The 21860-nt window shown below is 59.1% G+C and overlaps 1 protein-coding gene and 1 non-coding gene across 24 annotated transcripts in view, besides 13 other annotated features; both read right to left on the minus strand.

The window, feature by feature from the left end:
- CHLSN (cholesin) overlaps positions 1-21860 on the minus strand; it is a 160294-nt gene that overhangs the window by 44475 nt on the left and 93959 nt on the right. For 15 of the 23 annotated variants that reach the window (NR_156697.2, NR_188533.1, NR_146966.2 and 12 more), the window contains exon 1: positions 5820-5931. The exons of 7 other annotated variants lie outside the window; for them this stretch is intronic. The gene's annotated coding sequence lies outside the window, so the exon portion shown is untranslated. Of the gene's footprint in view, positions 1-2059; positions 4590-5819; positions 5932-21860 lie in introns of those variants that run through there. One more of the 23 variants, NR_134538.2, reaches the window with a different exon arrangement.
- MIR339 (microRNA 339) lies at positions 495-588 on the minus strand. The gene has a single exon (NR_029898.1). It is a non-coding gene; the product is annotated as a microRNA 339 (primary transcript).
- Positions 699-1256: an enhancer, noted in NCBI's record as "nonconserved acetylation island sequence 100". NCBI's record gives its function as "activates a minimal heat-shock promoter by reporter assays in Jurkat T cells {active_cell/tissue: Jurkat}" and the evidence as "EXISTENCE:reporter gene assay evidence [ECO:0000049][PMID:17135569]".
- Positions 5107-5841: an enhancer, noted in NCBI's record as "H3K27ac-H3K4me1 hESC enhancer chr7:1067181-1067915 (GRCh37/hg19 assembly coordinates)". NCBI's record gives its function as "activates a minimal SCP1, AML or CMV promoter by ChIP-STARR-seq in naive H9 embryonic stem cells {active_cell/tissue: H9 hESC(naive)}" and the evidence as "EXISTENCE:reporter gene assay evidence [ECO:0000049][PMID:30033119]".
- Positions 5107-6575: a biological region, named in NCBI's record as "hESC enhancers GRCh37_chr7:1067181-1067915 and GRCh37_chr7:1067916-1068649".
- Positions 5319-5528: a silencer, noted in NCBI's record as "silent region_17837". NCBI's record gives its function as "represses an Ori minimal core promoter by ATAC-STARR-seq in GM12878 lymphoblastoid cells {active_cell/tissue: GM12878}" and the evidence as "EXISTENCE:reporter gene assay evidence [ECO:0000049][PMID:35858748]".
- Positions 5559-6338: a silencer, noted in NCBI's record as "silent region_17838". NCBI's record gives its function as "represses an Ori minimal core promoter by ATAC-STARR-seq in GM12878 lymphoblastoid cells {active_cell/tissue: GM12878}" and the evidence as "EXISTENCE:reporter gene assay evidence [ECO:0000049][PMID:35858748]".
- Positions 5842-6575: an enhancer, noted in NCBI's record as "H3K27ac hESC enhancer chr7:1067916-1068649 (GRCh37/hg19 assembly coordinates)". NCBI's record gives its function as "activates a minimal SCP1, AML or CMV promoter by ChIP-STARR-seq in naive H9 embryonic stem cells {active_cell/tissue: H9 hESC(naive)}" and the evidence as "EXISTENCE:reporter gene assay evidence [ECO:0000049][PMID:30033119]".
- Positions 8228-8327: a silencer, noted in NCBI's record as "silent region_17839". NCBI's record gives its function as "represses an Ori minimal core promoter by ATAC-STARR-seq in GM12878 lymphoblastoid cells {active_cell/tissue: GM12878}" and the evidence as "EXISTENCE:reporter gene assay evidence [ECO:0000049][PMID:35858748]".
- Positions 8388-8517: a silencer, noted in NCBI's record as "silent region_17840". NCBI's record gives its function as "represses an Ori minimal core promoter by ATAC-STARR-seq in GM12878 lymphoblastoid cells {active_cell/tissue: GM12878}" and the evidence as "EXISTENCE:reporter gene assay evidence [ECO:0000049][PMID:35858748]".
- Positions 13448-13970: an enhancer, noted in NCBI's record as "H3K27ac-H3K4me1 hESC enhancer chr7:1075522-1076044 (GRCh37/hg19 assembly coordinates)". NCBI's record gives its function as "activates a minimal SCP1, AML or CMV promoter by ChIP-STARR-seq in primed H9 embryonic stem cells {active_cell/tissue: H9 hESC(primed)}" and the evidence as "EXISTENCE:reporter gene assay evidence [ECO:0000049][PMID:30033119]".
- Positions 13971-14492: an enhancer, noted in NCBI's record as "H3K27ac-H3K4me1 hESC enhancer chr7:1076045-1076566 (GRCh37/hg19 assembly coordinates)". NCBI's record gives its function as "activates a minimal SCP1, AML or CMV promoter by ChIP-STARR-seq in primed H9 embryonic stem cells {active_cell/tissue: H9 hESC(primed)}" and the evidence as "EXISTENCE:reporter gene assay evidence [ECO:0000049][PMID:30033119]".
- Positions 18216-18723: an enhancer, noted in NCBI's record as "H3K4me1 hESC enhancer chr7:1080290-1080797 (GRCh37/hg19 assembly coordinates)". NCBI's record gives its function as "activates a minimal SCP1, AML or CMV promoter by ChIP-STARR-seq in naive H9 embryonic stem cells {active_cell/tissue: H9 hESC(naive)}" and the evidence as "EXISTENCE:reporter gene assay evidence [ECO:0000049][PMID:30033119]".
- Positions 19231-19738: an enhancer, noted in NCBI's record as "H3K27ac-H3K4me1 hESC enhancer chr7:1081305-1081812 (GRCh37/hg19 assembly coordinates)". NCBI's record gives its function as "activates a minimal SCP1, AML or CMV promoter by ChIP-STARR-seq in primed H9 embryonic stem cells {active_cell/tissue: H9 hESC(primed)}" and the evidence as "EXISTENCE:reporter gene assay evidence [ECO:0000049][PMID:30033119]".
- Positions 21227-21782: an enhancer, noted in NCBI's record as "H3K27ac-H3K4me1 hESC enhancer chr7:1083301-1083856 (GRCh37/hg19 assembly coordinates)". NCBI's record gives its function as "activates a minimal SCP1, AML or CMV promoter by ChIP-STARR-seq in naive H9 embryonic stem cells {active_cell/tissue: H9 hESC(naive)}" and the evidence as "EXISTENCE:reporter gene assay evidence [ECO:0000049][PMID:30033119]".

Below are 21860 nucleotides of genomic sequence, written 5' to 3' on the forward strand. Positions count from 1 at the left end.
TTAACTCACAGTAGTAAACTGCTTTTTCTGAGAAACAAGAGTTTTTTAAATTAAGCCTTTTATTTTAACGCAATCGCAGGTGACGGCCGTCGTGAGGGAACACGGGACGCCCACGTGCCCTCCACCACCTCCTCCCACGGCAACCCTCGCAGAGTAGCCAGGACCACATTCGGATCCGGACTCTGAAATGACAGTCCCACAACCAACAGCATCGATGTGGTCTTCTTAATGATCAGAAACACACAGGGGATTAATTTACTCTTATTCTGCAAAATAAACAAGCTCTCAAATTCTTTAAAGGTGAATCCCCCCCAACCGTCCTCCCTCCCCAGTTACTTCCTCCCTAGGACACCAGTGGAACATCCCATGCTCTCCCCCTTCCATGTTGATACCGAATAAAACACACTGCATCAGAAGACCCACGCATACGAGTCCAGGGGCTGCTACAAAGCGCGGCGACGTCTCCGCGGCGAGCTGGCCACTCCATGGTCCCGGCGCAGACACTGGGGCAGGCGCCGGCTCTGTCGTCGAGGCGCTCACAGGCAGGCACACGTGAGCTCCTGGAGGACAGGGAGAGCGGCCGCCCCGCCCCTGCGGAGCACAGGACGCTTCCTGCCACCCCTGCAGAGCATGGGACGCTTCCTGCCATGGTGCCGTGGCAATGGGTGGCACCTGCCTGTGGCCCCTTCTCAGAAGGACGTTTTAAACGCGTGAGGTCTGATGCACAGCCACAGGGAGACACAGACGAGCAGATGTGGGCATCCGAGTATTTACAAGGTCTGGTGGCTCCTGCAGCCGCGACACGGGCTGAGCGCAAGTGATGTGTGAGGTGTCCCCAACAGATGGCACGGGGAGCGCCCACACCCGCCACCGCGGGGTCTGCGGAAGCTCGTGTCAGCTGGAGGTTAGGGAAGACGCACAGGGGCTCATTCTCCACCCAGGTTCAAACTCCCTGAACTCACGAGACCCAGGCTGAAGACATGGACAGACTCCCAGCCCCAGCGCCCCTCTGACAGCACACCCGAGGCCTCCTGGGAACCTGGGACCCCTTGCAGGGTCCCCCGCAGGCTCCTTCCTAGGAAGGAGGTTCCTGCCCTACTCCACATTTCTCTCCATCCAACTTCCAACTCCTTCCCACTGGGCCCTGGAGAACATGACGAAGACTGTGGGGGCCTCCTCCCAGGAAACACACACACACACACACACACACACACACACACACACACACACACACACACACCAGCAACGCGCCCAGACCCCAATCCCTGGCAGCCCAACTCCTCGTTCTACAGAGAAGGGGTGAGGATCTCCAGGGGTGACTGCTCACATCTCGGCACATGTAGAAGGCAGGGCTGGAGCAGCGGCCCCTGCAGCCCAGGCCAGGGGACTGGAGGCCCTTCCACAGCAGCCCTTTCCTTTTGATACACGGTCTTGCTCTGTGGCCCAGGCTGGACTGCAGCGGCACCATCACAGTTTACTGCAGCCTCGACCTCCTGGGCTCAAGCAATCCTCCCACCTCAGCCTCCCAAGCAACCAGGACTATAGGCATGTGCCACCATGCCTGGCCAGTTTTTAAATTTTTTATAGAGATAGGACCAAGGCTGCTCTCACACTCCTGAGCTAAAGTGATCCTCCTTGCCGGCCTCCCAAAGTGCTGGGATTATAGGCATGAGTTTTCAAACTCCTGGGCCACAGCGATCCTTCCGGCCAGCCTCAAAGTGCTGGGATTATAGGTGTGAGCCCACGGTGCACAGCCCCCACTTTCTTCCTAAAAACCCTGCAGCTTGGCTGACAGTGGGACCTGCCTCCCTACTCCCGCCTGCAGGAGCTCAGAAGCCTCAGCTCAAGAGGAGCCCTTGCCAGAGACGTGGGACCAGGAATGGGCCCCACAGAGCCCTGCCCGTGGGCTTCCTAAACAGCCTGAGTTCAGCTGCACACACCAACGATGTAGGCGGGTTGCAATAAACAGCAAGAAACGGACCCATGGGACAGGAGAGACGCAGGAGCCCCAGGGGACAAGAGAGACGCAGAAGCCCCAGGTGCCTTTGGTGGCCAGTGCTGAATTTCGCAAGCAACATTAGAAACTTTTTATTTCTGCTTTTCTCTTAACCCAAGGGTGAAAATGGAAACCTGTGGTGTGGGGCAGTCTGCTGAACGCTAGGATGAGGGCGGGGAACAAGAGCCACCCTCCCCGCTGCCACCTGGCCCACAAGAGCCTTCCCAGGGGCTCTCCAGTTTCAGCCCCTCCTTGCCGAGCCAGACAGCGCTGCTGGCCTGGACGGGAGGGACACCCAGGCTGACTGAGTGGGGGAGCACTTTTTATAAAGATCAGATCAGGTTTCTGAAAACAAAAAGCCCCCAGATCCTGCGAGCGGCTATTTAGACTTGATGCACACTCCACCATTTCACAGGTATCCATTCCCCAGCGTCACACATGCCCATCCCCAGCTGGAGCACACTCTTCAGTGTGGAGGACAGAAGGAGCAGGCAGAAGACGACCCCGGGGCGCTGGGGGAGCAGGTGCGGGCTCCCACATACCTGCTCTATTCTGGTTGGAGGTGTCACAAGGGAAGGCGTGGAGATGCTGCCAATGGGGACATGCGGCAAATGCGCCCCCTTCGCCCCACACCTGTCAGCAGCTAGCAACAACTCAGTCCTGACTGCTGGAGACCCAGCCCCAGGGGCAGGCAGGTTGGGATCCGCTGCTCAGGAGGCAGCTCTGGGCCAGGGTGGAGGCCGGAGAAGCCAGGCACCTCCCCGCAGAGCTCTGCAGAGGCCAGTCTGCTAACGGCTTCATCACTGGAGTGGCGGCTGCTAAGAGCAAAGCCTGTGCTTGGTACCTCAGGGACCTAAATAAGAACCACTCCCTGTTCCAAGGATCCCAAGTGGGGGGAGGACGAGAAGCAGCTGAGCCTATAGGGCACAGGAAACTCACTGGGGTGTGGGTGCTGGGGACTTGGGTTGGGTGCTGTACTGAGCAAGCCTGTTGTGGGGGGACACTGCTGGCGGTGGGTGACGAGGTGCACAAGTCAGGTCAGGGAGGGGGACTCTGCCCTGGCACCACTGGGGCACAGGACACTGGCTCAGGTGTCAGCTGAGGACCCCCCAGTGTAGGCGAGGGGCTCACAGCCGCTGAGGCCTGTGGACACAGCTCCGTGTATTCTGAGGTCGCAGAGCACAAGAGGTTGGGGGTGTGATACGGACCGACCTCGCCCATCCAGGAGGAATGGGGCTGGTAACAGAGCTTTGTAACCCCTCAGCACCGGTAGAGGTTGCGTGGCTCCCCAGTGGAGCTGAGGGCTGGCGTTTCTTGCTCTGTATTTCCCTGCGCTCTGGAAACTCCTGCATCACCAGCCTTGGGCCCTTCACTGCCTCCCCTGGGCCTCCAGAGGCAGGCTGGGGTCCTCTCCTTTCTCAGCCTCTGTGGCCAGTGTCTGGCACAGGACAGACACCCACCAGGACGCTGCCTGGGACGGAGGGCTCCCTTCTGCCTCCGGCCAGGTGGGCCCCGCAGCAGCTCAAGCTTCAGCTGCAGTGGAGGGAAGAGTGAACTGCTGGGCAGAAGCAGAAGCAGGCCTCCTGGAACTCGTGACCCCAGATCCCAGAGGCCCTGCCCCCTTGCCACCTCCCAGAATGTTGGCAGGGCCTCTGGGTGATTTTCATCCACATGCAGGGGTGTCACATAGGCCCCTCGGCTCCAGCTCCCCACTGAACGGCAGCTTTGTATCCACAGGTAGGGCTGGGCGGCTCCAATTTGAACTTAGGCATATGGACGCTGTCTAACGATTCACGACACTCCTCGTTTCTTTCGCTACTATTGGACCAGTTGAGGGTGGAGCCCAGCTGCACCTGGCATTGCTGAAGAGCCCTCGCAGAGCCAGCGCTCCAGCTGCTGGGCGCGCAACAGCTGTCCCGGGAGGCAAGGGTTCGCACGGCAGTGCTTCTGTGTCGACAGAGGCTGTGCTGCAGCTCCCTGCCAGGCCCGTGTCCTTCCTAGCTGTGAGAACACTAACCTGCCTGGGCTTCACCTGTGGAAGCCACCGCTAACTAGCAGTCGGAGGCGGCGTTGTTTCTAAGACAGGCAGGCAGCTCCGGCAGGAGCAGCCGCTAAGCACAAGGACGGCCAACCACACAAAGCCTGCTTCTCAACCACTCGCAGGAAATCGGCTCACAGTTGCTCCCCATTCTTCAATGCTGATCCTGCCACTTTACTGAAAATCACATTATTAACGTTTAAAAAACGTATGGGAACCATGCAAAGACATCCACGCCCCTCAGTTGCTGCCGCTCCAGCACCTGGCTCCGAAGTCTGTGCAGAAGGCGAGGCTCCCGTAGTGCTCGAGAGGGCCTTGCACGCTCCCCGTGGAGGGAACAAAGCTACGTGGATTTTCCAGCGCGCCGCCCACTTCACCAGGCAGCCTCTGGGCTTCATCCTGCTCGCGTGACAGGTGTGCTCTGTGCTGTCAGGAAACTGCAGGGCTTTGAGTATAAACTGAAAACAGCAAAACTATGTTCTCATCTCAGAGGCCCCTTCCTTCTCACCCCGAGGTCACCTGGGCCCGGAGACACAGCACCCGCCGTGCAGGAGCCTGGAAGATGTTTGAGCAACGAGAAAAAAACCAGAACATGTTACCGCCTCTAAAATGAGGAAATGGCAGGATCAAAATTAAATGTCCGTGAAGTGTATCATCATGTCAATTTTGTTAGTTGTTACACATAGTTTAAAACACTCACATCTGGGAACTAAGTACGGGTTAGGTTTTCTCACTTTGCCACAACTCCTCAGTGAACACAACGAATTCATAAAAATCACTGTCAATTCGGTGAGTTACTCATAAGCAAAGGACTCTGAAGCAACGGTCACCATTCCCGCCGTCTCTGCAGCCGTGAGGCCCAGCAGCAGGCTAGGCAGCCCGGTTCGCGTGTCCGTGCGGACGCCTGGTCCACGGCCCCCGGCTGTGCGCGCAGCAGCTGAGGACGCTCCGAGGACACAGCGCAGGACCAGCACGGGGCCGCCACCTGCCCGGGCCACCGCCTCCTCAGAAGATAAAAGACCTACTCCAAGCACCTCTGCGCTCTCCAACCCAAACCCGGCTGAGCCCCGACGCAGCAGCGGCAGAGCCTCTTGAAGGAGCTGCCGGCCTGCTCCGCCGTCCTCAGGAAGGCTCCCGAGTGAAGCTATCCCAATTGTTTTCATCATGAGTCTTTGCTTTAGTTGACACAGCTTCGCACTAGCACCCACCGCGCCAGTGGGGGCCGCCTTGCCTCAGGCAAGAAAGCCCCTGGCTTCCGAGCGCCCGACGGGGTCCTCTACCCCGGCACAGGGAGGGGCGAGGCGGCGCTGCGGGCGACACAGGCCCTCTCAAGGGTCACGCGGCGGCCGACGACTCCAGCCCACCCAGGGTCCTCAGAGCTCGTGTCTCCCCCGGGGGCTGCTGCATCGCGGCTGGGGGCCCGGTCCGCCCCCACAGCGCAGGGGAGCCTGGCCGGTTGCGGGGCCGCTCGAGGGCTCGCAGTGCCTGCAGGGCCTGGACCCCCACCCTGCCACCCGCGGCCCGGCCCTGCGCCCCCAGGAGAGTAAGTGGGAGGAGGGCGCGGGACCGTCCAGGGCCTGCTCGGGGACCGGCGCGCAGCGGAGCCCCGAGAAGCGCGGCTCGGCCGGCCCGGGGTCTGCAGGGCGGAGCGGGGCCCGCAGCAGCGTCTGGACGCCACGGCCTCCCACGGGAGCGCCCACCTGTCGCCGCGGGGCGGGGCTGGGGCAGGGCCCCTCCCATCCCCTCCCTGCAGCCCGAATGCGGGCCCTGGCCCCGCGCACTGACCTCTGACCCGGCTGTCAGGTCCCGCGGGCACGGACGGCGCCGGGGCAGGGATGCGCCCGCAGTGCGCACCGCCCGGCCCGCGCCTCCAGCAGCCTCAGCGCCTCCACACTGCGCATGCCCGGCCGGCCCGGCGCGGCTGGAACCAGATCCAGCCGGCTGGACCGTGACGCCAGCGCGCCTGCGGGGACTGGACCTCGGCGCGGGGGTGGGAGAGCCGGGGCGGGGCCTCGGCGCTGAGAAGGCGGGGGTGGACCCTGCTGCAGCCCCCACTGCTCCTCCGACGAGGCTCTCTGGCCGCCCGGGTCTCCGGTCCACCTGCGCGAACTGCGGGGAGGGCGCACCCCCGCCCGCGCAGGGCCCCTGCCAGCTGCACGTACTTGCCTCTGACCGCCCCCACCCAGCCCCTATCGTCCCCCTACTTCCCTCATCTCCCCCATCTGCCTCCATTATCCTCTCATCTCCCCCAATCTGCCCCCATAGACCCATCTCCCCCAGTCTGTCCCCATCTCCCCTAGTCTGCCGCCATCTGTCCCTATCGCTCCCCCAATCTGACTCCATGGCCCCCATCTCCTCCAGTCTACCCCCATCTTCCCAGTCTGCCATCTCCCCAATCTGCCCCATCTCTCCCCAGTCTGACTCCATGTCCCCCCATCTCCCCCAGTCTGCCCCCATCTCCCCTGCCCAGGCCCTGCAGGCAGAGGCCTAGCCCTCCCATGGCATCCACGTGTCCAGCAAAGGGGAGGTGCTCAATACCGGCTGGCTGAATACGTGGATGAGTCACGCAGCCTTTTCCTCACCACACAGAGGGCGTCTAGATCTCTTCTGGCTTGTGAGTTCCCTGCCCTGGGACTAAGACTGCAGATCAGTTTTTTTGCTTGTTTGTTTTTGGAGATAGGGTCTTGCTCTGTCGCCCAGGCCAGAGTGCAGTGGCACCATTGTAGCTCACTGCAGCCTTAACTTCCTGGGCTCAAGTGATTTTCCCACCTTGGCCTTCCGAGTAGCTGGGACCACAGGAGTGCACCACTGTGTCCAGCTAATTTTTAAATTTTTTGTAGAGACAGGGTCTCACTACGTTGCCCAGGCTGTTCACGAACTCCTGGGCCCAAGTGATCTTCCTGCCTCGGCCTCCCAAAGTACGGGGATTACAGGTGCGCCACCATGCCCAGCCTAATTTTTAATTTTTGGAGAGATGGGGTCTCACTATGTTGCCTGGCATAGGAGGCTGGAACTCCTGGACTCATGTGATTCTCCTGCCTTGGCCTCCTAAAGCACTGACTGGGATTACAAGCATGCACCACGGTGCCTGCCTTGCAGATCAATTTTATGGTGCGAGGGAGCCGCACTGGCCACCCAGAGCACAGTGAGCCCGGAGGCTGGGCCGGTTCCAGGGCGAGGAGAGGCTTAGACTCCCTCTCAAGGCGTCAGGGTCCAGGACACACTGAGCTCTGGTCGCGGGGCCCTGCTCTGGAGGCCACCCCTGCCTGGGGAGATGGTGTGGGCACCCCAGTCCCCCGCTGAATAAGGATCTGCAAGGCCGGAGTCAGGCCTGGGGCTGGCTGTTTTCCTCCTAGCTGTTTCACCATCTCCAGGCCTGTTCCCATGCAGAGGCCTGCTCTGTGGTGGCAGCGGGGCAGGCAAGGGTGGACTGGAGGCCTCCTGGAGCTGGTGGACACGAGGAGGCCAGGAAGGGATGTCCTGCCCACTGCCTGCAGCGGCTATGCAGCAGTGCTTCCGATTTAGTGTCTCTGCCACTGGTGTCCGCACCCCGCTTTCAGAGAAGGAAGTGTGTGCTCAGTCACCGGTTTCATGGGAGGGACTCAATTCTGGGCCTTCTGAGCCCCAGTGGCCTTGTGTGCTGACTCCCCAGTGTGTCCCCAGCATGAATGCGCCAGCCCACACAGTCACCTGCCTCCATGAACGCGCCAACTCCGCGCATCCACCTGTCTTCCCGAACGCAACGACCCACGCATCCACCCACCTCCATAAACGCGCCAATCCTGCTCATATGCCGTCTTCACCAACGCACCAACTCGCACAGCCACCCGCCTCCACACCTGAGCCCGGGGACCAGGTTTCTTCTCCCCGTAGTTCTGTGCTGGTGGCTCTGGGCTGCTTTGGGAGACAAGGACAAGAGCAGGAGCGGGAGAAGCTGGCCTGGCAGTGGGGTGCAGTCCCCCGGGCTGGGCCACTAGCCCCACAGGGATGGGGACGTGGTGCCGGCTGAGGACCCAGGGGCTTCACTCCACTCCATCTCACGCTTCCAGCTACCCTGCTCTTTGCACTTCACAGAGGGGGAACCAAGCCCAGCAAAGGTGGACACATACCAGCTGCTATGCCTTCCTAGGTCCTGCCCAGTGACCCACCTGTAGGGCTGTGCTGTCCCCAGACCCATGAAGGCACACATAGGCTTGTGGCTTTGGGCAGGTGGGACTCTCTCCCCAGGCAGGCGGGGACTCTCTCTCTCCCGGGGCAGGGGGGGACTCTCTCTCTCTCCCGGGGCACGCGGGGACTCTCTCTCTCTCCCCGGGCAGGTGGGACTCTCTGGGCAGGTGGGGCTCTCTCTGGGCAGGTGCCACCATGCCTGCTTTCCCACAGCCCACACCCCGGGCCCCAACACAGAGCAGCAGGTGCAAGGCTGCTTACTGCACCGGCACATCCAACCACCTCCACAAACGCACCAGTCCATGCATCCACCCAGGCTGAGCTAAGGGCCCCTTGTACCTAGTACAGTCTCAAGGGTGGAGTGGCCAGGAGGGAGCCCTCCCACTGCCTTGGCTTGAAGCATCAGTGGCCAGTGGTCCACACTGAGACCCTAGAGCCCCCTCCCCCAGCAGGTCGGCAGGTCCTGGTCAGGAGGAGGGGCCAAGAGGAAAGGAAGGGCCCCCAGATAGCTGGTGAACTGCTTCCGTACACGGGATGCCGTTCCACACGCTACATATCTGGACAGAACAAGACAAAGATGCGTGCCCATTGAGAGGCTATGCTGAGGCTGTAATAATACTGAGGAGAAAAGTTAAGGGTAGGCTGTTTTTCTGAGATTTAAAATGGTTGGGGGAGGAAGGAAATCAGCGAAACAGCACCACAGGCGGCTCCTGGGCAGAGACCAGAGACCTGCAGGGAGGGCAGAGTGGTCCGGGGGGGCAGAGACCTGCAGGGAGGGCAGAGTGGTCCGGGGGGGCAGAGACCTGCAGGGAGGGCAGAGTGGTCCGGGGGACCAGAGACCTGCAGGGAGGGCAGAGTGGTCCGGGGGGGCAGAGACCTGCAGGGAGGGCAGAGTGGTCCGGGGCGGCAGAGACCTGCAGGGAGGGCAGAGTGGTCCGGGGCGGCAGAGACCTGCAGGGAGGGCAGAGTGGTCCGGGGCGGCAGAGACCTGCAGGGAGGGCAGAGTGGTCCGGGGCGGCAGAGACCTGCAGGGAGGGCAGAGTGGTCCGGGGGGGCAGAGACCTGCAGGGAGGGCAGAGTGGTCCGGGGCGGCAGAGACCTGCAGGGAGGGCAGAGTGGTCCGGGGCGGCAGAGACCTGCAGGGAGGGCAGAGTGGTCCGGGGCGGCAGAGACCTGCAGGGAGGGCAGAGTGGTCCGGGGCGGCAGAGACCTGCAGGGAGGGCAGAGTGGTCCAGGTGCGGGGGGCGGCCAGCAAACACCACCCGGGGAACGGGCCGAGAGTGCGGGGTGGCTGCGAGGACGTGCCGAGGGGGTGAGAGCAACCTGGTCACCAAACCTTCCCCAGGTAATGAGAATTCGCCTTCGAAACCTGGGCCCAGGCACCCCAAGACCATGTGGAACATTCTGAGTCATTCAAAAAAGACATAACTATGTCTGACGCATTCTTTTAATTAACTGCCCTGCTCAGGTGGTCAGTGGGCCCCACTTCCCAGACACACCACGCCCCAGAGAATGCAGGGTAGATGGGCCCCAGATCCAGAGAACTGCTCCCGGCCCACGGGGCTGCCCCAACACGTCCCTCGCACTCGGCCCGCCTGAAAATAAAGTCTCTGAAATGGAACCTGGGGCTGAGGATGAAGCCCCCCGCAGGTGGATCTGCTGTTGGCCAGAGCAGAGAAGGTGCCGTGGAGGCCTCGGCGAGGCTCCTGTCTGCCAAATCACTTTCGTGGCATCACGAGAATCCACTGTGGAGGTGTGAGGGCCAGGAGGCCCTGAGAAGTGGAGGCCCTGGCCCTAAGAGGCCACAGCCACCCACCCACACCGCCAGGCACCCCCAGGTGACAGTGGCCCTCAGAGGCCGCAGCCACCCGCCCACACCGCCAGGCACCCCCAGGTGACAGTGGCCCTCAGAGGCCGCAGCCACCCGCCCACACCGCCAGGCACCCCCAGGTGACAGTGGCCCTCAGAGGCCGCAGCCACCCGCCCACACCTCCAGGCACCCCCAGGTGACAGTGGCCCTCAGAGGCTGCAGCCACCCGCCCACACCGCCAGGCACCCTCAGGTGACAGTGGTGCCCTTGGGCTGCTCCAGTCTGTCCATGACAGGCAGGGGCAGGAAAACCACCCAATCAGCAGGTCCCCAAGAGAAAACACTGGTCGGAGTCGCCAGAAAGCACGATGCTAGGGTACTGCACGTATGTGGGCAGCGCCTCTGCCCCAAGCATCCTTCCTCCAGCCCAGTCACACTGTCTGCCTGACCAATCCTGCACGCTCCTCACTACCCTGCCCGGATACCCCCTCTCTGGGAAACCTGTGAGCCCCAGGTTGCTGGAGGGCCTCTCCTCTGTGCACTCGCGGTGCGGACCCAGGCCACGGACAGTCTCGGCAAGTCCGTTACACACTGAAAGAAGACCTACCACTACCTCGATACGAGGGAACACAGCCCAGCTCGGTCTGTGAAGCTAGTAGAACCCTGATACCCAAACCAGATGAAAACAAAACTACGGACTAATATCCCTCATAAATACAGACGCAAACATCCTACTCAGCAACATGGAAAAAGAGTCACACACCATGCATGACAAGTGGAGTTCACTCCAGAGGTGGAAGGCTCGCTCACTATTTAAAAATCCATTGGGCCGGGCGCAGTGGCTCACGCCTGTGATCCCAGCACTTTCGGAGGCTGAGGCGGGCGGATCACCTGAGGTCGGGAGTTCAAGACCAGCCTGACCAACACGGAGAAACCCCGTCTCAACTAAAAACACAAAAATTAGCCGGGTGTGGTGGGTTATGCCTGTAATCCCAGCTGCTCAGGAAGCTGAGGTAGGAGAATCATTTGAACTTGGGAAGTGGAGGTTGCAGTGAGCCGAGATCACGCCATTTGCACTCCAGCCTGGGCAATAAGTGCGAAACTCCGTCTCAAAAAAAAAAAAAATACCATCGATATAATGCACCCTATCAACAGGCTACAGAAGAAATACGACGTGGTCAAACCAACTGATGCAGGGGGCATGTGACGAAGTTCAAGACCCACGCGTGGTAAACACCCAGGAAATCGGTAACGGAGGTGCCTCCTGAGTGAGGTGAGGAGACACCCAGGAAATCGGTAACGGGGGTGCCTCCTGAGTGAGGTGAGGAGACACCCAGGAAATCGGTAATGGGGGTGCCTCCTGAGTGAGGGGAGGAGACACCCAGGAAATCAGTAATGGAGGTGCCTCCTGAGTGAGGTGAGGCACATCTGCAGGTGCTCCTCCAAGGCCAGGAGCAGGGCAAGGGTGTCCACCCTCCCACTGTCCCCACTGCTATCCAGCATCAGGCTGGCCGGGGGCCACAGGCAGGAAAAGGACCAGAAAGGAAGAAATATAACTCTCTGTATTTGCAAGCGGCATGACCGTTGATGCAGGAAATCTCAGAGAATCTACGAAATAAATCCTGGGACTGTGAGTGGGTTCAGAAGGCATGGGACCGCAGACAGTCAGGGAGCTGGCAATGGGCTCGCGGAAACTGGCATTCCCGTGCTACCACCACCTACGACTGCTCAGCAACAAGGAAATGCTTAGCTGTAAATTTAACAAAACCTGTATGGGACTTAAATGCTAAAAACCACAAAACACTGAAGAAACAAACTTTGAAGAATCCAAATAAATGGAGAGACACATTGTGTTAATGGACAGAACAGACAGCAGAGTCAAGACATAAATTCTCCCAAAATTGAGGTACATGTTTCATGCAACTCCTACCGTAAATTTCAGGGTTTTTTTTTTTGTAGGTAAAGACAAGATTATTCTAAAACGTATATGGAAAAGCAAAGTAACAAGGATAGCTAAAACAGCGCTGAAATACGATGACTAGAAGGAACTGCATGCCTGATTTCGGGACATCGGACAGCTGTGGTGCAGCACGGGCAGTGGGAGACACACAGAGGAACAGAGAACAGTGAACCCAGGAGGTGCCCCATGTTAGCAATGTGATTTTTTCAAAATTTTATTTTAGGTTTAGGGGTGCCTGTGCAGGTTTGTTATACAGGTAAACTTGTGTCATGGGGGTTTGTTGTATAGATTATTTAATCACCCAGGTACTGAGCCTAGTACCCAGTAGTTATTTTTCACCTTCTCTCCCTCCTCCCACCCTCCACCCTCCTTTTCCTCCTCCCTCCTCCCACCTCCACCCTCAAATTCACTCCTGTGTCTGTTGTTCCCTTCTTTGTGCTCATGAGTTCTCATCATTCAGCTCCCACTTATAGTGAGAACATGTGGTATTTGGTTTTCTGTTCCTGCCTTACTTTGCTAAGGATAATGGCCTCCAGCTCCATCCATGTTCCCAGAAGACATGATCTCACTCTTTTTAATGGCTGCATAGTATTCCATGGTGTATATGTACCACATTTTCTTCATCCAATCTGCCATTGGTGGCATTTCAGCTGGTGTCATGTCTTTGCGACTGTGAACAGTGCTGGGCTGGTGTCATGTCTTTGCTATTGTGAACAGTGATGGGCTGGTGTCATGTCTTTGTGACTGTGAACAGTGCTAGGCTGGTGTCATGTCTTTGCTATTGTGAACAGTGCTGGGCTGGTGTCACGTCTTTGTGACTGTGAACAGTGCTGGGCTGGTGTCATGTCTTTGCTATTGTGAACAGTGCTGGGCTGGTGTCATGTCTTTGTGACTGTGAACAGGGCTGCAGTGCACATTTGCATGCATGCATCTTTATGGTGGAAAGATTTATATTCCTCTGAGCGTAAACCCAGTAATGGAGCAATCTGATTTCTGACAAAGTTTGTAAAGGCAATTCCATGGGGACAGAAATCTTTTCAACAAATGCTGCTGGAACAACGGGATGTCCACAGGAAAACAATAAACCTCGAACCAAAGAAGATTTACAGATGGCAAATAAGCATGGGGCCAGACGCGCGACATCCTTTGACGTGAGGGAGCGCCCATGAAAATAGCAGTGAGGCACCGCACACCTGTCACGATAGCCCAAATCCAGAGACCGACATCACCAAATGCGGGTGAGGATGTGGAGCAACAGGAATGCACTCATCGCTGTGGGAAGTGACTGCAAAATGGCACAGTCACTTGGAAGTCAGCTGGTGGTTTCTTACCAAAGTTGGCAAAATCCTGCCACAGGATTCAGCAAATGTGCCCCTTGGTATTCACCCACATGAACTCAAAATTTAGGTTCACATGAAACCTGCACACAGATATTTCGAGCAGTTTTATTCATAACTGCCACAGATTGGAAGCAACCAAGATGCCCTTCAGTAGGGGACTGGATAACTGTAGTCCATCCAGACAGCACAAGAAAGGCTCTGTCATGCCGTGAAAAGACGTGAGCAAGTTTAACAGCATTCTGCGAAGTGACAGGTGCCGGCTGAAAAGGCTGCACGCTGTGGGGTCCCACCGCATGACATTCTGGAACAGGTAGCACCATGGAGCCAGGAAAGGGTTCCGTGGTGGTCAGTGGTGGTGGGGAGGGAGGGATGAATGGGTGGTGCACAGGGCCCTTTTGGGGCAGTGAAGCTGCTGCGTGTGGTGCTGTAACAGTGGATGCACAGTGGATATTCATTTATCAAAACCCACAGAGCATGCCATACCAAGAGGGGCCCCCCATAAGCTGCGGACTTCGGGCGGTTGTGCTGTGGCCATGTAGGGTTCGGGTGCTCGTGCTGTGGCCGTGCAGGGTTCGGGTGCTCGTGCTGTGGCCGTGCAGGGCTCGGGTGCTCGTGGTGTGGCCGTGCAGGGCTCGGGTGCTCGTGCTGTGGCCGTGCAGGGCTCGGGTGCTCGTGGTGTGGCCGTGTAGGGTTCGGGTGCTCGTGGTGTGGCCGTGTAGGGTTCGGGTGCTCGTGGTGTGGCCGTGTGGGGTTCGGGTGCTCGTGGTGTGGCCGTGTAGGGTCATCACTGTTGTAAATGCACTATTCAGGGTGCAGGGTGTTGATAATGGGGGAGGCCGTGCATGTGTGTCAGGAGGGTGTACATGCAAACTCCATCATCTGCTCAATTTTGCTGTGAACCTAATATTACTCTTAAAAAAAAGTCTATTAAAAAAAATCCGATAGGGGAAGATGGCGGCTGCTCCTTTGGAGGAGCGGGATTGAGAGGATCGGGGTGGGGAGACCAAACAAGAGAGACATTTCTGGCTCTGAAGGCGAACGCTTCGCTGGCCATTTAGGAGCTCTGCTCAAAGCCAGACGGCCAAGCGTGGTGGCTCATGCCTGTAGTCCCATCACTTTGGGAGGCTGAGGCAGGAGTATCTCTTGAGCCTAGGAGATGGAGACCGGCCGGGGCAGCATGTCGAAACCCTGTCTCTACTAAAAATAAAAAAAATTAGCCAGGCGTGGTGGCATGCGCCTGTAGTCCAAGCTATTCTGGAGGCTGAGGTGAAAGGATTGCTTGAGCCTGGGAGGCGGAGGCTGCAGTGAGCCGAGATCACACCACTGCACTCCAGCCTGGGTGACAGAGTGAGACCCTGTCTCAAAAAAAAATTTTTTTTAGCAAACCAGTAATAGAAAGGATTTACTTCAGTCTGATAAAGGGCATCTACAAAAAATCTGTAGTTATGTCATACTTAATAGTAAAGGAGAAATGCCTCCTCCCTAAAGTTTGGAACAGTACAATAAGGCAAGAAAAAGAAATGAAAAGGCTTTTAGAACAGAAAGGAAGATGCGGAGCCGAAGCTGGACTGTACTGCTGCCATCTCGGCTCACTGCAACCTCCCTGCCTGATTCTCCTGCCTCAGCCTGCCGAGTGCCTGCCATTGCAGGTGCGCGCCGCCACGCCTGACTGGTTTTGGTGGAGACGGGGTTTCGCTGTGTTGGCCGGGCCGGTCTCCAGCCCCTAACCGCGAGTGATCCCGCCAACCTCAGCCTCCCGAGGTGCCGGGATTGCAGACGGAGTCTCGTTCACTCAGTGCTCAATGGTGCCCAGGCTGGAGTGCAGTGGCGTGAATCTCGGCTCACTACAACCTACACCTCCCAGCCGCCTGCCTTGGCCTCCCAAAGTGCCGAGATTGCAGCCTCTGCCCGGCCGCCACCCCGTCTGGGAAGTGAGGAGCGTCTCTGCCTGGCCGCCCATCGTCTGGGATGTGAGGAGCCCCTCTGCCTGGCTGCCCAGTCTGGAAAGTGAGGAGCGTCTCCGCCCGGCCGCCATCCCATCTAGGAAGTGAGGAGCGCCTCTTCCCAGCCGCCATCACATCTAGGAAGTGAGGAGCGTCTCTGCCCGGCCGCCCATCGTCTGAGATGTGGGGAGCGCCTCTGCCCCGCCGCCCCATCTGGGATGTGAGGAGTGCCTCTGCCCGGCCGAGACCCCGTCTGGGAGGTGAGGAGCGTCTCTGCCCGGCCGCCCCGTCTGAGAAGTGAGGAGACCCTCTGCCTGGCAACCACCCCGTCTGAGAAGTGAGGAGCCCCTCCGCCCGGCAGCTGCCCTGTCTGAGAAGTGAGGAGCCTCTCCGCCCGGCAGCCACCCCATCTGGGAAGTGAGGAGCATCTCCGCCCGGCAGCCACCCCGTCCGGGAGGGAGGTGGGGGGGGGTCAACCCCCCGCCCGGCCAGCCGCCCCATCTGGGAGGGAGGTGGGGGGTCAGCCCCCCCGACCGGCCAGCCGTGCCATCCGGGAGGGAGGTGGGGGGGTCAGCCCCCCACCTGGCCAGCCATGCCGTCCGGGAGGGAGGTGGGGGGGTCAGCCCCCCGCCCGGCCAGCCACCCCGTCCGGGAGGTGAGGGGTGCCTCTGCCCGGCCGCCCCTACTGGGAAGTGAGGGGCCCCTCAGCCCGGCCAGCCACCCCGTCCGGGAGGGAGATGGGGGGGTCAGCCCCCCAACCCGGCCAGCCGCCCCGTCCGGGAGGGAGGTGGGGGGGTAAGCCCCCCGCCTGGCCAGCCGCCCCGTCCGGGAGGGAGGTGGGGGGGTCAGCCCTCCGCCCGGCCAGCCGCCCCGTCCGGGAGGTGAGGGGCGCCTCTGCCCGGCCGCCCCTACTGGGAAGTGAGGAGCCCCTCTGCCCGGCCAGCCGCCCCGTCCGGGAGGGAGGTGGGGGGGTCAGCCCCCCGCCTGGCCAGCCGCCCTGTCCGGGAGGGAGGTGGGGGGGTCAGCCCTCCGCCCGGCCAGCCGCCCCGTCTGGGAGGTGAGGGGCGCCTCTGCCCGGCCGCCCCTACTGGGAAGTGAGGAGCCCCTCTGCCCGGCCAGCCGCCCCGTCCGGGAGGGAGGTGGGGGGGTCAGCCCCCCGCCTGGCCAGCCGCCCTGTCCGGGAGGGAGGTCGGGGGGTCAGCCCTCCGCCCGGCCAGCCGCCCCGTCTGGGAGGTGAGGGGCGCCTCTGCCCGGCCGCCCCTACTGCGAAGTGAGGAGCCCCTCTGCCCGGCCAGCCGCCCCGTCCGGGAGGGAGGTGGGGGTGTCGGCCCCCCGCCCGGCCAGCCGCCCCGTCCGGGAGGGAGGTGGGGGGGGTCAGCCCCCCTGCCCGGCCAGCTGCCCCGTCCGGGAGGTGAGGGGCGCCTCTGCCCGGCCGCCCCTACTGGGAAGTGAGGAGCCCCTCTGCCCGGCCAGCCGCCCCGTCCGGGAGGGAGGTGGGGGTGTCAGCCCCCCGCCCGGCCAGCTGCCCCGTCCGGGAGGGAGGTGGGGGGGGTCAGCCCCCCCGCCCGGCCAGCCGCCCCGTCCAGGAGGTGAGGGGCGCCTCTGCCCGGCCGCCCCTACTGGGAAGTGAGGAGCCCCTCTGCCCGGCCAGCCGCCCCGTCCGGGAGGGAGGTGGGGGTGTCAGCCCCCCGCCCGGCCAGCCGCCCCGTCCGGGAGGGAGGTGGGGGGGGGGGTCAGCCCCCCCGCCCGGCCAGCCGCCCCGTCCGGGAGGTGAGGGGCGCCTCTGCCCGGCCGCCCCTACTGGGAAGTGAGGAGCCCCTCTGCCCGGCCAGCCGCCCCGTCCGGGAGGGAGGTGGGGGGGTGTCAGCCCCCCCGCCCGGCCAGCCGCCCCGTCCGGGAGGTGAGGGGCGCCTCTGCCCGGCCGCCCCTACTGGGAAGTGAGGAGCCCCTCTGCCCGGCCACTACCCCGTCTGGGAGGTGTGCCCAACAGCTCATTGAGAACGGGCCAGGATGACAATGGCGGCTTTGTGGAATAGAAAGGCAGGAAAGGTGGGGAAAAGATTGAGAAATCGGATGGTTGCCGTGTCTGTGTAGAAAGAAGTAGACATGGGAGACTTTTCATTTTGTTCTGCACTAAGAAAAATTCCTCTGCCTTGGGATCCTGTTGATCTGTGACCTTACCCCCAACCCTGTGCTCTCTGAAACATGTGCTGTGTCCACTCAGGGTTAAATGGATTAAGGGCGGTGCAAGATGTGCTTTGTTAAACAGATGCTTGAAGGCAGCATGCTCGTTAAGAGTCATCACCAATCCCTAATCTCAAGTAATCAGGGACACAAACACTGCGGAAGGCTGCAGGGTCCTCTGCCTAGGAAAACCAGAGACCTTTGTTCACTTGTTTATCTGCTGACCTTCCCTCCACTATTGTCCCATGACCCAGCCAAATCCCCCTCTGTGAGAAACACCCAAGAATTATCAATAAAAAAATAAATTTAAAAAAAAAAAAAAAAAAAAATCCAGGCTGGGCATGCTGGCACATACCTGTATTCCCAGCTGCTTGGGAGGCTGAGGTGGGAGGATTGCTTGAGGCCAGGAGTTTGAGACCAGCCTGGGCAACACAGTGAGACCCCCCATCTCTGCAAAAAAACTTTAAAAATTAGACAAGCATGGTGGCACGCACCTGTACTCCCAGGTACTCAGGAGGCTGAGGAGTGAGGATTGCTTGAGCCTGGGAGTTCAAGGCTACAGTGAGCTATGATTGCACCACTGCATTCCAGCCTGCATGACAGAGTGAGACCCTGTCTCAAAAACAAAAAACAAAACCAAAACAACAACCTAAACCTCACAAAAAATGAACTCAAATAGATCATCTATTTAAATGTCAAATGTAAAACTATAAAACTTTGATAAGAAAATGTAGGAGAAAATGTTTGGGACCTGGGAGTCATTGAGGAATTCTTAACCATGACACCAAAAGCAGATCCTTAAAATTAAAAAGAACAAAAAAAAAAAAAAGGATAAATTAGACTTCACCAAAATTAAAAAGAAAACAGCCTTTTCTCTGCAAAACCCTCATTAAGAGGATGTAAGAGATAAGCTATGGACTGGGACAAAATATGTACAAACCACACATACACAAAAGCCTAGCGTCTAGAACACATAAACAACGAGAAGGCGCAGCTCGGAGCAGGGCTGGGAGGATGAGCAAAGGCAGACGTGCCGGCTGCAGCCGCGCTCCGTGAGTGAGTGGCTGCTGCATGCCGGGCCTCCAGCTGACAGTGCCTCCCGGGGTCAACCCGAAGCCAGAGGCTCGGCAGTATGCTGGAGACCCATCCTGGGCACCTCCCACGTTCCCTGTGGGAACAGCTGCTTCTGCAGAACATGGAAAAGGTCCAGGCTGGAAGCTGTGCAGACGGAATTTAGGAAGAGGGAATGGAGAGACTGCAGGAGGGAGGGAGGCCCCTGCACGGCAAGGTGGTGGCCACATGCTCCAGAATAGGACTTGGGCTCCGCACTGCAGGGAACGGGACCTGGGCTCCGCGCTGCGGGGAAGGGGACCTGGGCTCCGCGCTGCGGGGAAGGGGACCTGGGCTCCGCGCTGCGGGGAAGGGGACCTGGGGTCCGCGCTGCGGGGAAGGGGGCCTGGGGTCCGCGCTGCGGGGAAGGGGGCCTGGGGTCCGCGCTGCAGGGGAACGGGACCTGGGGTCCGCGCTGCGGGGAACGGGACCTGGGGTCCGCGCTGCGGGGAAGGGGACCTGGGCTCTGCCCAGGGACTCCACAATTCCTTACTAATGTTACTGCCGTTTATGGGGGCTCTGAACAACACCACGTTTTACTAACACATGCACAGAGTGTCAGATGATGACATGCTGTCTCACTTATGCTAAGGCTCACTCTCATTTTATCATCTGTAACGTCAGGGTGCGCCTTATAATCAACAGGCCACAAAGAAAGTCACAAGCCATACTCACAAGAACTAGGAAGTTCGTTGCAAAATATTCCTTGTCCGTGATCAGCACGGCACACACTATCAGACTCACTCTGCCAACACAATCACTAGAGAAGGTTCATCTCCGAGGGGAACGCCAGCCAGCTTTTCCCACCACTCCCCGCCCCCCCGAGAAAGCCCACGTGCAGACAGACCCAGGCCAGCTGGGCCCCTCTCCAGCTCCTGACCAGCAGCCCCGGATCCCTGGGTGGCGTGCAGCTGACCTTCCGGACCGCCACTCAGAATAAGCAAGAAAGCCTGCCGACCCGCCTGAATGCGGCAGGGGAAGGGGAAGGGCGGCCCCAACATCTCCGTGAGACACGCGGCTGCATCACAGCAGCCTCGGCAGTGCGCGGGGCTGCAGAATCAGGTGCACAACTAGGGCATCCCCCACCCGCAACACACACGGCACACAGGAGCCTCGGCAGTGTGCGGGGCTGCAGAATCAGGTGCACAACTAGGGCACCCCCCACCCGCAACACACACGGCACACAACCACAGAGGCACGGCCCCAGGCCAGGAGCGCACAACTGCCCTCAAATGCCCTCAGCAGCCACGGCACACAGCCACAAACACATGACCCCAGGCCAGGAGCACACAACTGCCCTCAAACACCCTCAGCAGCCACACAGGGGAGGCCACGTCCACGTGACTTCAACCATCAACACTAGACTAGGGTGCAACCGCGAAGCTGAGTCAGGGCCACACGCCCCCCTACGCCCCAATCTGTGCCCACCCTTCCCCCCACCAACTGAGTCTTGTACAGGGGCTGGCCAGGACCCTTGGATACGCAGCTGCAGCCTCTGGAGAGTGTTTACACCTCCAGCTACGAGTACTTATTGTGGTTCAGGTGGAGGGTGGTTCCCTCTGACGATCTCCCCAGGACACACACGAGCTTTCTGCCATTCTCCCTGGCAGGACTGGCCTGCTTGGCACAGGAAGTCTCTGCAGATAAGGCGGTCTGCAGTGACCTGAAAGCTCAGTGGCTCAGAGGAAGCTAACCTCTAGCATTCCCCAGCCACAGAGCACCCCTGTGGGTAGGACCCACAGAGCCTGGCATTACAGGGACCAGACAGCACGGTGCATACTCTGACCAGGGATTCTGAGGTCTTGGGCCATTTATACCATGGAGATAACGAAGCTTACTCTTAGGCGGGCTGCTAGGAGGGCCCAAAGTCCCAAACCCTGATCTAAAAAGCCAGAATACCCCTGGGTTCAAATCCTGGCTCCACGGCCTGCAGTGTGACCTGGGCTAAGTTGCTTAAGTTTTCACAATTAAATTTAAAATGCATGGCCGGGCACAGTGGCTCACACCTGTAATCCCAGCACTTTGGGAAGCCCAGGCAGGCGGATCACTTGAGGTCAGGAGTTCGAGACCAGCCGGACCAACATGGTGAAACCCCATCTCTACTACAAAAAAAAAAAAAAAAATTAGCTGGGCATGGTGGCACGCACCTGTAATCCCAGCTACTCAGGAGGCTGAGGCTGCAGTAAGCCAAGATCGTGTCATTGCACTCCAGCCTGGGCAACATGACAGAAACTCTGTCTTTAAAAAAAAAAAATATTAAAATGCACATGGTGACCTATCTCATTGACGCTAAGGCGTACTCTCACTTTATCATCTCTAATGTGAGGCTGCGCCTTAAAATCAGCAGTATGTCGGAATGCAGTGGGCAGAGGGCCTTCTTTTTAGTAATCCATAAAGTAATGGCATAGCTAACACTAATCAATCGTGTCTTAGGTTTGATGAAATACGGACGTATCTACCTCAAAACAATGGTTGAGGCTCAGAACAGAACCTGACACAGAATACGCCCTCAGGTATCGGTGTTGGCTGCTTGTGACTGACTTTGGCAAGTAAGATCAGTACCCGGCACCTCTGGGCACACAGGGCCCGGGCTGCATCCACTGTGCCAGGGACCTGGTGCCGGGCTGGGCAGCAAGTCAGTATCACATCAGCAGGCGTGGGCCGTGGTGAGCCTCTCCCTGCCCTCCCGCTGGAATAGAAAGCTGATCCCGACGTCCCACTCCGACCCACGGTCAGGAAGCCGTCCTGTCCAGGAAGGTGGCTGAGGTACATCCCTGAACACAGTAGGCCACAGCATCATGCAGCGGAGGGCCAGTGGCCGCTATTCTTCCTGCTGGTGTTCCACTCGGCCCGCAGCTCACAGCAAGTCTATGCGGAACTGTGCAACCCACATGCTTTGATTTTCAGAAATGTTCTTAGATCCTGAACCAGAATGTGCTGCAGGGGGGACTGTTTCACCTCAAAAATTACAGCAAAGTAAATGTCCTTGTTTCAACTTTTCCAATGTTTAACTTGTAACAATAGCTACAAAAGTAATCAGGCAGCAATGTGTTTCTTTAAACGGCTTTCCTGTGAGTGTTCCGTTTACAAAGAAAATCCTAAAACCAGGAAGTAATTGGTGACTTTGGAAACAGCAAGCAAACTTCGGTGAAGAAAGAGGGGCAGGTGTACCTGGAAGGACTAACTTGCAGCCACTCATTTCCTTTGGAGGGCGGTGGGGCCTGCACCCTGCAGATTAGGGTATATTCTGACTCAGCAAAATAGGCACCAGCGCCTGTAAAAAGAAACCGCGCTGGGCACTAAGAGAATTCTC

This window comes from Homo sapiens, chromosome 7 (genome assembly GCF_000001405.40).
Source record: "Homo sapiens chromosome 7, GRCh38.p14 Primary Assembly".
Classification (NCBI taxonomy): domain Eukaryota; kingdom Metazoa; phylum Chordata; class Mammalia; order Primates; family Hominidae; genus Homo; species Homo sapiens.